Source organism: Homo sapiens, chromosome 7 (assembly GCF_000001405.40).
Source record: "Homo sapiens chromosome 7, GRCh38.p14 Primary Assembly".
NCBI classification, from domain to species: Eukaryota; Metazoa; Chordata; class Mammalia; order Primates; family Hominidae; genus Homo; species Homo sapiens.
Window position 1 is genome coordinate 8001543 of NC_000007.14, and position 14114 is coordinate 8015656.

The 14114-nt window shown below is 35.8% G+C and overlaps 1 protein-coding gene across 1 annotated transcript in view; it reads left to right on the forward strand.

Annotated features, from left to right (window-relative positions):
• Positions 1–14114, forward strand: part of GLCCI1 (glucocorticoid induced 1) — a 120285-nt gene that overhangs the window by 32747 nt on the left and 73424 nt on the right. Inside the window, exon 2 of the mRNA NM_138426.4 lies at positions 2366–2517. Within this exon, the coding sequence (NP_612435.1) occupies positions 2366–2517 (152 nt within the window). The remainder of the gene's footprint in view (positions 1–2365; positions 2518–14114) is intronic.

The window sequence follows — 14114 nt, forward strand, 5'->3', positions numbered from 1 at the left end:
GGTGATTCCTCAAGGATGTAGAACTAAAAATACCATTTGACCCAGCGATCCCATTACTGGGTGTATACCCAAAGGATTATAAATCATGCTACTATAAAGACACATGCACACGTATGTTTATTGCGGCACTATTCACAATAGCAAAGACTTGGAACCAACCCAAATGTCCATCAGTGATAGACTGGATTAAGAAAATGTGGCATATATACACCATGGAATACTATGCAGCCATAAAAAAGAATGAGTTCATGACCTTTGCAAGGATGTGGATGAAGCTGGAAACCATCATTCTGAGCAAATTATCGCAAGGACCAAACACTGCATGTCCTCACTCATAGGTGGGAATTGAACAATGAGAACACTTGGACACAGGAAGGGGAACATCACACACCAGGGCCTCTCATAGGGTGGGGAGCTGGGAGAGGGATAGCATTAGGAGAAATCCCTAATGTAAATGACAAGTTAATGGGTGCAGCAAACCAACATGGCACATGTATACCTATGTAACAAATCTGCACATTGTGCACATGTACCCTAGAACTTAAAGTATACTTTTAAAAAAAGGAAAAAAAAGGAATCTATATGTGCTAAATAATATAGAACTAAAATATAAAGGTCAAAAATGTGCAAAAAATAAAGAGAATTTTTAGAACTCAATAGTAGTTTAAAGCTTTTAGAGTACTCTTCTAAGTCTGTAACAGATAAAACTGATAATTATTCCTATATTCTATAATTTAATTCAATTGATATATAAGACAAGGAACTATATATTCTGAAAACAAAATATCTTCTCTGTAATTCATGAAACGTTTATAAAAAATGACCATGCTTTTGGTCACAGGGAAAATTTCAGGTAATTCCAATGAGTAGAAATGGGTTCCATTAGATTCTCTGCCTTCAGTATAATACAATTAGAGCTAAAGTAATACAGATAAAGAGGAAATCTGGTAATTTTCAGATCTTTTCTATCAATTCTTGGGTCAAAGGAAAAAATAAAAACTGCAGTTCTAAGCTATTATCTGCCTAATATGATAACATGCATTTTCTTCTGTTTTTCTGGTAAACTATGTATTCTGATTTCAGGAAGGTGAAGGACAGCATTCAATAATAAATGTTTCTTCACCCCCTGTAAAGAGGAAGGCATTTTGTTTGATGTGAGATATGACTCTGAAAAGAGTTAGCCTTGGGAACCTGTAAATCTGTTGGATTCTATCACAGAATGCACATTAGTAGTAAATTATTTAGGATAGATATATGGAGAATCCTCTATAGTTATCTGTGTAGATTTGGTGTTCAGTGTGATTAATTTTTAACAGAGATTCTTGTGATACCCCTATGGGAAGGAGAAGTATCATAGTTTGTTATGGCAGATTGATTGAACTGTGTATAATGTCTGTAGATTTTGGGTTCTTTTTACCTCTGTCCCTTGTTTGCATCTCTTGTTCAGTATTCCTCTAGGACTCAAATTCTTCGTCTGTGAATGAGGAAGTTGAATTAAAATATAAAGTTATTTATACATGTTATTTTTGTATAGCTCTGAATAAATTCATTAAGTGAGTATTGAATGTTGGTTCCTATTTAGTCTGTAGGGTTTAAACTTATGTTGTGATGGGAGAGAGAAACAGGCTTAGGGTGCCATGAAAGCAGAGACAGGCAAGTATATCTTAGAAGGAAGGCGAGAGGAAAGGGCATTAGGGAAACTTTCACAGAGGCAGTGTGACATCTGAACTGGTCTTGAAGATAAATGAGTTTGTCAAGTAAACAAGAAAGAGAGTTCTAGGCTCAGGAAGTAGAATGTACAGAGGCAGAAAGAATGTATTTTACCTTTGGAAAAACACAGGCCATTCATGTGACGCTTAGCATGGGATTATGGAGTAGTAAGATATTAGGCATTGAGGTATATGGCACCCAAATCGTGAAAGCTTATTATGTCATACTAAATAATATAGGCTTTAAATTAAAGACAATGACTAACCATGGAAATGTTTTCTATTTGGGTATGACACTGTAAAATTTAGTTGAAATGGATACAGGGATAGCAGTTAGAAAACTGGCAGTTCAGGTGAGACATGAATGGGAGTCTTAATTAAAATAATGGCAATGAGATGATATGCAGATTTATATAAAATGGATAGGCTTCATAGGGTCTGTGGGAGCCCTGGAAATGTATGTGAGATTTAACATGAATGTATTTTCCTTGGGACATGGTTCATACATTTCATCTGATCATACAACAGGGCTATTAGTGTAAATATATATATCACAGGAAAAATTGACAGGATGACATTCTACAAACTATGAAGTTAGATAACTTTAAATTTTATTTTATTCACTAATGACTAATCTTTTTTTTCACTTTCTGTAGCGGACAAGGCAAAATCTCAGCAAGTTCGGACCTCTAGTACAATAAGGCGAACCTCCTCTTTGGATACAATAACAGGACCTTACCTCACAGGACAGTGGCCACGGGATCCTCATGTTCACTACCCTTCATGCATGAAAGACAAAGCTACTCAGGTAAAATCAGGAAATCAAAATCAGCTTATTACCCTGCACTTCTTCTGTTTTGATCACAGTAAAGAAAATGTAATATAATCAAATTTCCCCAAATTTGAAATACATCCAACCAAGGAAGAAAGGAAAAATCCATTGTTTTAAATAAACTTTGCAGTAATTGTTTTTTGTCATCTGGCTTTTAGAAGTTTTGAAATTCTTTAATACTTAAATAGCACATCAGTCTATATTACATGGTTGTAGACACGTTGTAATTTTAAGAATTGCTTTCCAATACAAATTAAAATGACTGGTAACCATTTTAGAAAATATAATTTTTTAAGAAGAGTTTGCACCGTTCTTGAAAATAATTTATAAAGTAGTAACAAATGCCTAATGAAATCTATGTTGGAGAATTTATTTTTTTCTGTTTAAAACCAAGACTAAAAGCCTTCAGAGGGAAATAGAAATTAACTGTCTCATTTTCCCTGTTTTTGGAAGGATCTCCAAGCTTTTGATTTGAAAAGCTTTTCCTCCACATCAGAAAAAAAATCTGAAAACATCTTTATTCATGATTATCTGAGTTCTTGACCATATCTTCATAACAGTAGTCAATCAGCATTTATTGGCATAAAGAAGAATACTAAAAATATAAGAGATAGTCATTGGTTTTAAAAAACCTGCAGCACAGTTAGGTAGATGAGATACACATTTATAAAAATTGGTAAAAGAAGACAGTGTATAATTCGACGTTAGATGAATGGAGTATGTAAATGTGAGGGCATTCAAAGGAAAGAGAACATTTTGGGCTTTGTAGGTTAGGGAAATAGAATAATTAGAGTTTCATGTCCGAAGACTGAGGAAAAGAGAGAGAGTTTTGGACATGATCTGTAAAACTCTGCTTCTCAGGTTTTGTCATTTTCTCAGGCAAGCTTGCAACTGTGAAATTGGCTTCTTCTTTATCATCTGTCTCATCAGTTCTGTCCTTGTAATGTTTTATGCTGCTCTACTCTTTTGATTTCCATTCTTCATTTAGTGAGGAAGAGGATAAGTTTAATATGGCAGGCAGTGGAATTTCCAAATAGAAATAACTAGCAAAACTTAGAGGTGTGGGCCTGGACAGTTAGAGATCTGGACACAGATAATTAATTCAGAACCATCCTTCTAGAGGAGTTAGATTCACAAATATGATAAAATGTAGGTATAGAAAATAAAATTTAAAAATAATTTTAAAAAGAAAAAAATTTAAAAAAATGTACTTATAGAGTATGAAAGAAGAAGGTCAAGTGATGGAGGACTTAGTTTTTGGAAGGGTGCACACACACAAGAAAAAAACTAATATATTCATCTGAAAGCAGCAAGAGGAGGAGGGAGTTAATATTTATTAACTGTGTACCGTGTACTGTTTGTTTTATAACCTGTTTCATTTAATTCTCAAAAGACCATTGCAACATTACACAGATGGAAAAGCAGTCACTCAGGGAACTTAAATGATTTATTTAGGAGCATAGAGCTAGAAAGTGTTGGAGCCAGATTTCTAACACAGGCTAATCTGTTAACCAATATAAGCTCCATTTTTATTATTACTGAACTGGGATTATAGGATAATACAAACATACATATGTATGTATGTACCTAGTGCTGTGACACTGCACTAAAAAATGGTAGCTATTCTTTTTAGATTACCAAACCAACATATGAAATGAATGCTATGTGCTGACACTATCGAGAGGGAAACATTATCTAGTTTTTTTTTTGTTTGTTTGTTTTGTTTTTTTTGAGACAGGAGTTTCTGTCTTGTTGCCCAGGCTGGAGTGCAATGGTGTGATCTCAGCTCACTGCACCCTCCGCCTCCCAGGTTCAAGTGATTCTCCTGCCTCAGCTTCCTGAGTAGCTGGGATTACAGGTGCCTGCCACCATGCCCAGCCAAGTTTTTGTATTTAGTAGAGATGGGGTTTCACCATGTTAGTCAAGCTGGTCTCGAACTCCTGACCAAAGGTGACCCACCTGTCTTAGCCTCCCAAAGTGCTGAGATTACAGGCATGCGCCACCACTCCTGGCCCAGAAATATTATCTTATTCGCTCTTCACAAAAATTCTGAAAAAGAAGAGAAGCCAGAGAAAGAGCGAAAGGCTAAGTGAAAAACTGGAATAGTGAAGCCTTAGAAGTCAGAGGAGAAAGCTATTCTAAGAAAGGAAAAAATTGTTGACAGTATCAGATGCTAAAGAGAGGTCATGGTGATTAAGGACCACATTTAGGGATCAGAGGCACATTGTCTTGGAGAGTGCAGTATTGGAGATAATGCCAGAGTAGGAGACCCTACTATTTGAGAGTTAAGAGAGTGATGTGGAGATAGAAGGAAAGAACGCTGGATATGTTTCTTACACATGTCTGATTTTTTATCTGTGCAGTGGGGTTAATAAAACCTAACCCATAATATTACTGTGTGATTAAGTATGATAATATTGAAGGTAAATTTGGCAAATACTATATACACATTTAAGTTAGTAGTAGTATATGTAGACATGCCCGCTTGTAACATTTGCAGGGTCTGCAGCAAATATAAAGACCAATATACTATATGTACGTAAGTTAAATGAACAAATTATTGAGTAAAATACATTTTGTCCTCCCCCCACTACCCAATGACAAATAATCTTCATATGGACCTGGAAGATGAGGTTTAAACTAAGAATTCTCAGATTCTTCAGAGTTACATGCCGGTATATGTCCACATGGGGCAGGCCCACCAGGCCCATTAGGCCCACCTCGTCTGAGCCTAAGTCCCATTCTCTTCCTACCCTACAATCTATTCTGTACTTTAAGCTGGCTTTACACATACACTTGGACCCACCAGTTCTCACATTCAAGTGCCATCCTCAAAAAGCAAGAACCAGGGAATGGGTCTGCAGACCTTAGAAGCCAAGCCTACTGCTGTTTGTTCAGGAAATTCCTGGTTTTAGATTACCTGGAGTATATTCTACAGCCAGGCATGGGCTCATAACGTCCATGCTCTTTGCTCCCAAGGTCTCTTATCCCATGGGGAGGGGCATGGCTGCTAGAAGGCCAGAGGAATTTCTCCTGAATTTTGAGGTCCAGGATAAGGGCTTGTCTGGCTTGCATCTATCTGGATGTAGGTCATTTATTTGAGAAGTTTGACATTGAAAAGAAGGTAAAATATAGGGCTCATTTTACAGATGAGGAACCTGAGGCTTAGAGAAGTTAAGTAATTTGTACATCATTACATAGCTGTACATTAATATGTACTACATACATATTACATCGTTATGTAATATGTACTACGTACGTAGTACATCGTTATGTAATATGTACGTAGTACGTATTAAGCGTGAGGACAGTGAACCCAGACCTGGCTGATTCTAAAGCGTTTCCTTTTTTTTCTTCAGCTGTCTATTGCCTTTTATGGCAACCACTAACTACTAACCTACTTCTTGCCTCACAAGCATAAGAAATGGTCCTTCCCTAACCATTTATTAGTTTAATTGAAGATACAAGAGATGAACATATGAGATACTTTTTATGGCGACATCCGTTTCTCCTGGATTAACTGTTGAACTCTTAGGGTGGGAAGAACTTGTTTTATTTATGTAGTGGAATTATGTAGTGGACATTGGTGGAAGGAAGGTGGTATACTCAGCTTGCTACAGACATTAAACACCTGGGCTGTTTGGCCTTGGTGGAGGGTGTCTTGAGGGTGTTCTTCCTTTTATATTTCTGTTTCAACTACCTTAATTATTGAGAGCTTGACATAAAAAAATTAATATTGTTTAGTATGTTTACATATTAAAAAGAAGTAGCATAATGTTGTGAAAAGATTGTAGACTTTGGAACCAGATCATGTATTCAAATCAAGGCCCACTGAGGGAACTTTCTGGGATAATGAAAATGTTAATTAAAAAAGTAGTTAATTTTAATTAAGTAAAAATTATTTATATATTAATGGTGTACAGCATGGTAGACACACACACATTTGAAATGATTACATCAATCTATTTAACATATGCGTTACCTCATTTTTTTATGTGTGGTGAGAACACTTAAAATCTACTCTCTTAGCAATTTTCAAGTATACCATATATTTTACTGTAGTCATTATGATGTATAGTAGATCACTTGAAGTTGTTTCTTGTAACTGAAATTTTGTGTCCTTTGACCAGCATCTCCCAAGGACTCCTAGCCTCTGATAACCACTATTCTACTCTCTATTTCTGTAAGTTAAATGTTGTATATCTTTTTTTTTTTTTTTTGAGACAGGGTCTTGTTCTGTTGCCCAGGCTGGAGTGCGGTGATGTGATCTTGGCTCACTTCAACCTCTGCCCCTCAGATTCAAGCAATTCTCATGCCTCAGCCTCCCAAGTAGCTGGGAATTAGCTGGGACTACAGGCCCCTGCCATCACGTCCAGCTAATTTTTGTATTTTTAGTAGAGGTGGAGTTTCACCAGTAGAGAGGCTGGTCTTGAACTCCTTGCCTCAAGTGATCCACTAGACTTGACCTCCCAGAGTGTTGGGATTACAGGCATGAGCCACCATGCCTGGCCAGTGTTATATGTCTTAATAGAAGTTTGGGTTATGTTGGCGAATTCATTTATCGGAACTTACCCAAGTGTACACTTGTGCATTTTGCTGTATAACTTTAACTTTAAAAATACAGAATATGAACAGAAAACAAATACTGAACTCAGATGTTTAGAGATGAAGTATACTGCTGTCTGCAACTTTGAAATGAATAAAAAATAAGATGAATTGATGGGTGGATACCTAGATAGATAGCTGGTGGAGTAAATAGAGCAAAATGTTATTTAGAGAAGCTCAGTATTGGCTTTATGGGCCTTCACTGAACAGTTTTTTTTTTAACTGTTCTGTTTGAAATTTTTATTAGTAAAATGTTAAAAAAAAATTCATGACCCACTGACTTAACTGCTTTGTGACCCAGTCTTAAGCTTTCTTTTCTGTAAATTGAAGTTAGTAATACCCGATTTGCACATTCACACGTTTATTCTGAGGATTATAAGATACAGCTTTACATTTTTAAGGCCTCTGAAGAAATGGATCACTGCTGGTTATTTAGAGTCATCTGTTTAGCCTTGTAGAAAGAAAAACTAAAATCCATTTGTGAAATTTAATATTTTATTACTGTAGCCTTGCAGATACAACCTTTTTAAAACAAAAAATGTATTACCAACTCTTAAAATTGAACTTGCAATTAAGGTTACTATAATAAAACAGTAATGTTTCCTCAGTCTTCACCCCATAGTCTGAGGTGTAGTCTCTGGACAAATTTTAAATTCTGTGTTTGAATGTGTTTTTAAATGCGAAAGTAATATATATTCTTTGTAAAGTGGTCAAGTAATAAAAATAATATATACAGCAATAATCAGAGGTATTTCCTACAACTTCCCAGGTATAGTAATGATTAGAGCTATTCATAAATATTGGCATTCTCTCTCCTGGGCACATGATAGGATTCTACTTCTCTGCCCACTTGAAGTTAAGTGTGGCCATGAGACTTGATTTGGGAAGATGCTTTAAAGAACTGGTGCATTCTCTCTGACAGGGAAGTAACTGTTCATTCCTACTCTGTCCATCTGGGTCACTGACAGTGACAAGCATAGCCTTCTTAATGACCCATACATGTAGTATGAGCAAGAAATTAACTTTTGCAGTTTTAAGTCATTTGGATTTGGAGATTGTGTAGTTACTATCCTATAATCTAGTCTTTACTAATATGCAAAGTATAACCCTTTTAAACAAATTTTTGTAGGCCTTTCAGAGCATAGTATGTTATTTTTATTAATTAAAAGCTTTTCAAAAGATTCAGTGTGGACGTAAAATCAGTATCAAAATAGAATGAAAAAAAAAAACCTGAGCACTGGAAGTGGTTTTTTTTTTTCTTAGAGTTTTGCCATTTGCTTAATTAACTTGTTTTCTTAATCTTATTTAAACATTTAAAAATTGTATCTTTAATGGTTTATTTTCCTGTTATACCTTTATTTGAGTTTTATAGGCCTTAAACTTTTTCTGATACAGTTAGATGCGATTTTCTTTGTATGAGTAGTCCATCCAAAACAGCCCCTGGAACAGGCTACCTCAGTCTCAAAATGTCACCTCTTTTGAAATGTCTATTAAACTAGAAGACATGATGGTGTTAATCTACAGAGCTAATTTTCATTAACAAGCTTTCTGCAAGTGAATGTATTCAGTCTTAACAAGAGAAACCACCACTGCCTTCTTGCTTCTTTCTTCTTTTTAAATGAGGATTTAAAATGCTTTTGATTAGATTTATATTCTAATAAAATGATGGATTTAATGCTTTTTATATATAACTTGTAAAAGAAAAAAGTCACTTGCCTAAACATCGAATTTCCACTTTAGGAATCTGCTCCCTGCCAAGGTCAGCATCCTGTCATAATATCTTATAAAATCTCTGTGCTTCTCAGTTCTTGCAGGGATGCTTAGTGATATATTTATAGACATTCTATAATTATCCCAGAATGTTTTTAATTCAGCTAAATTAAAAGAAGTAAATATTTCAGGTTATGTATTTTTGGGTTTTATCTGATTTTGTTTTAAAAATAATGCTTTTTGATGGTAAAATAATCCATCATATATTTGATGGCAAAATAATCCATAATATAGAAGGACATGAATAGTAGCCACTAACTCCCTAGGCCTACTACTTAAAAAAAGTATTATTAACAGGTTTTTGGGGGACACATATTTTGAGAAATTTTCTGTACCTATAGAAATATATTGTTTAGACATATACACACAGAGATGGAATCATACTTTATATCATATTACTGACTTGCTTTTTCCATTTGATGGATCATGGGCATCTCTCCTTATAACATATAAATCCCTACCTCATTTTTTTTTTCTATTTTTTAAGTTGTGGTAAAATATATATAACATGCTAGGGAGGCATGGTAGCCTGTGCTTGTAATCTCAGCTACTCAGGAGGCTGAGGCAAGAGAATCGCTTGAACCCGGGAGGTGGAGGTTGCAGTGAGCCGAGATCATGTGACTACATTCCAGCCTGGGCAACAGAGTGAGACTCTGTCTCCTCCCACACAAAAAAAAATAATGAAATTTACCATGAGTGAAAATGAATTAACCATTTTTTAAATGTACAGTTCCATAGCATTAAGTGCATTCACATTATTGTACAACCATTATCTCCATCCATGTCTAATACTTTTTTACTTTTTCCAGCTGAAACTCTGTGTTTATTAAATACTAGCTCTCCATCCTCCCCACCACACGCCAGCCTCTGGTAGCCATCATTCTATTTTCTGTCTCTGTGAATATACTCTAGGAACCTCATATAAGAAAATCATACAGTATTTTCCTTTTTTGTCTGGTTTATTTTACTTAGTATAATGATTTCAGGATTTGACATTGTAGCTGTGTGTCAAAATTTCCTTCCTTTTTAAAGCAGAATAATATTCCATTAGATATACATACCACATTTTCTTTATCCATTCGTCTATGGGTGGACATTTAGGTTGTTTCTGCTTTTTGACAGTTGCAAATAATGCTGCTAGCAACATTAGTGTGTGGGTATCTTTTCGAGTCTCGGCTTTCAGTTCTTTTGTATATATTTCCAGAAGTAGAACTGCTAGATCATAGGGTAATTCTGTGTTTAAATTTTTGATGAACTGATGTACTGTCTTCCACTATGGCTGTAGTATTTTATACTCACATTAGCAACGCACAGGGGTCCAGTTGTTTTTTCTTGTTGTTGTTGTTGTTGTTTTTTGTTTTTTTGTTTGTTTTTTGAGATGGAGTCTCGCTGTGTCGCCCAGGCAGGAATGCAGTGGCACTATCTTGGCTCACTGCAAGCTCTGCCTCCCGGGTTCACGCCATTCTCCTGCCTCAGCCTCCCCAGCAGCTGGCACTGCAGGCACACGCCACCACGCCCAGCTAATTTTTTGTATTTTTAGTAGAGACGGGGTTTCACTGTGTTAGCCAGGATGGTCTCAATCTCTCGACCTTGTGATCCGCTTGCCTCGGCCTTCCAAAGTGCTAGGATTACAGGCATGAGTCACCGTGCCCAGCCAGGGGTCCAGTTTTTCTACATCTTTGCCAATATTTTCTTTTTTCCTTTTTTAAAACATAATAGTCAACCTGGTATCTTACTTTGATTTTCGATTTGTATTTCCTAAATGATTAATGATGCTGAGCATCACTTCATCTGCTTTTTGGCCATCTGTATTTCTTTTTTGGAGAAATGTCTATTCAAGTCCTTTGTCTATTTTTGAATTGGGTTTTTTGTTGTTGAGTTTTAGGAGTTCTTTATATATACTGGATATAAATCTCTTATCAGATACATGGTTTGCAAATATTTTCTCCCATTCTGTGGGTTGCCTTTTTATTCTTTTTTTTTTTTTTTTTTTTTTTTTTTTTTGAGATGGAGTCTTGCTCTGTCACCCAGGCTGGAGTGCAGTGGTGTGATCTCGGCTCACTGCAAGCTCCACCTCCTGGGTTCATGCCATTCTCCTGCCTCAGCCTCCCGAGTAGCTGGGACTACAGGCGCCTGCCACCATGCCCGGCTAATTTTTTGTATTTTTTAGTAGAGACGGGGTTTCACCGTGTTAGCCAGGATGGTCTTGATCTCCTGACCTTGTGATCCACCCGCCTCAGCCTCCCAAAGTACTGGGATTACAGGCGTGAGCCACCACGCCTGGCCAGGTTGCCTTTTTATTCTTTTGATAGTGTACTAGTTTTTAATTTTGATAAAGTCCAGTTTATCTATTTTTCCATTTGTTGACTGTACTTTTGTTGGCATATTCAAGAAATCCTTGCCAAATCCAGTGTCAGGAAGCTTTCTTCTTATTTTCTTCTAAGAATTTTAGCCTTTAAGTTTATGTCTTTGATCCATTTGAGTCCATTTTTGTATAAGGTAAGAGTCCAACTTCGTTCTTTTGGATGTGAATATCCAGTTCTCCCAGCACCAGTTGTTGAAAAGGCTGTCCTTTTCCCATTGAATGGCCTCGACACCCTTATCAAAAATCAATTTACCGTATATGCTAGGGTTTATTTCTGGCTGCTGTATTTATCACAGTGGTCTGTGCCTTGTGGCTTTTTGCATTATGCCATAATTGGGAAAGATTTTTTCCACTCCAAGTTAAAAAATTTCATTTAAACTATATTTTCTTTTAATAGTTTTATGTTTCTTTTTACATATTTGTGTCTTTGATATTTCTGGAGTTTATTTTGATGGAAGGCATGAGGTGATATCCAGCTTTATTTATTTTTCAAAGTGACTAACAGTTGATAAAGAGTTTATCTTTTCCCTGCTGATTTGAGATATTGTTATATCATAAATTTCCATTCTTATTTGGATCTCTTTCTGGCTTCTCTATGCTATACTATATACCATTAATATCTTTTTTAATACTGAATGATTTTAATTTGTATTGCTTAGTAATTCATTTTAATAATTTGTATGGCTAGTCTTGCGTATTTATTTTTCTCAGTTAATTTTATAATTTGTACAATTCCTCAAAATGTTTTATATTACAATTAAATATGAATTCAGGGGAATTGTTACCATATTGAATCTTATCCAAGAAAGGGGTATATCTTTTTATTCATTCAAGTATTATGTTTGCCCTTCAGAATATTTTACAACTTCTTATTGGAACAACACATTTCTTGTTAAACTTATATCTAAATATTTTGTCTTTTTTGGTTGCTGTTGTAATTAGGATATTTAATATCTAATTTACATACAGGACATCTTCAACTTGACTTTTCTTGTTTCTAGTAATTTTTAGGTAATTTTCTTTGGTTTTTCGGCTGTACGATCATCCAAATAGTAATTCTACATCCTTTTCGTTATTTATTTCTTGGTATGTGTCCTCTTTTGGAATTGCATTTGTTGCCACTCCGAGAACCATGTAAACTAACAGTTATGGTACTGAAGGCCTTGACTTTTTTTTTTTTTTTTGAGACGGAGTCTTGCTCTGTCGCCCAGGCTGGAGTGCAATGGCACTGTCTTGGCTCACTGCAGCCTCCACCTTCTAGGTTCAAGTGATTCTCCTGCCTTAGCCTCCCGAGTAGCTGGAATTACAGGCGCCCGCCACCATGCCCAGCTAATTTTTTAATTTTTTAGTAGAGACGGGGTTTCACCATGTTGGTCAGGCTGGTCTCAAATTCCTCAGGTGGACCTCAGGTGATCCACCCATCTCGGCCTCCCAAAGTGCTGAGATGACAGATGTGAGCCACTGTACCCGGCTGCCTTGGCCTCTTTCTTGACTCTAATGGTAATGTATCTAGTTTACTCACTGGACAAGGTATACTGACATTTGCTGTGAAGCATGTGTGTTTGTTATACGTAGAGTACACATGCTTATTTTACTAATGGTTTTTCTTGTTTTAATCAGGAATAATAATTTATGTGGAAAATGCCATTTCATCAGTGAATATGTTTGTTAATTCTATATTTGTTTATTATTCAGCAATGAGTTCTTAATTTTTTTTCATGAGCCTTAGAGTATTTTTACACTTGCTTCATAAACAGGTTTTGCAAGATTTCCTTCCTCTGTGCTCTAGCATAACACAGTATAAATATCATCTGAATTCTGTCACTTGGGTCTGAAAGGATTTTACCTAAGTAACTTACTTACTAGCCTAGTATGTTTTTGGATTGTAGCACTTTAGAAAATTTTCTTAATTTCTTCCATGGCACTTGGTCTCTTGGTTGATATCAGGGAGAGATTTCAAAACTTGTATTCTCTGAGAGGTGAGAGATGGGATGGTTAGATCTTAAATAAAATTACATATACTGATACTTCCCTTTCTCCAGGTGATGGTATTATTATATTTGGTATTTTATTGTTTTAAATTAATTTTTAAAAGTTAAACTGTGAAACATGAGACATGCCAAAAGCACATAAAGCAGTTTCTCTTAATCTCATTAGACTTCAGTCTATGGAGTTTTATGATCCTGCCTCTATGTCAGCATCTTTCCCTAGAAATCTATTTGTTTTTATTTGTTTTTAAGAAACAGATCCAGACTAAGTAGTTAGCATTTGGCTTTAGGCAACATTCAATAAAGTTAACTAACTCTGAACTAAAACATATATATTCTTTTCTGTTGACGTCATATTTAAAGTACCTAGCCTTTTCCTCCATTCCTGAAAGGAGCTTGGTTAGGGAGGACTTTAGTCAAAGGAACAGATGATGCACCTCAAATACTTACTGATATAAAAAATAACTTTCAGTTTTATCACTCTGATCAGAAATTCATTTCCTGACCAAAAGTCACACTTTATACAGCTGTCTGAGTTTCCTGTGCCCTTGTCAAAGGGCTTGCTTTTGAAATATATTTAAGAAACAGCAGTTGCTGAAACATTTTAGGGGCTGGGGGACTTCTTCATGAAATGGAAGCAAGACTGAAGATTTGACTGTTTTTGCCTCTTAGATTGCATTCTAGGGGTCTAAATTATTTTTTATGGAGCTGGCCCCTGACTGGCTGTTGAGATCACCTTTACTTTTTCTCTCAGCCATCATCTAATTATGAGACAGAGGATTGTAGAATCCTAGAGTTGAATAGTTCACACCAAATTAGTCATGTTCCTGGTTTAGGGAGTAATT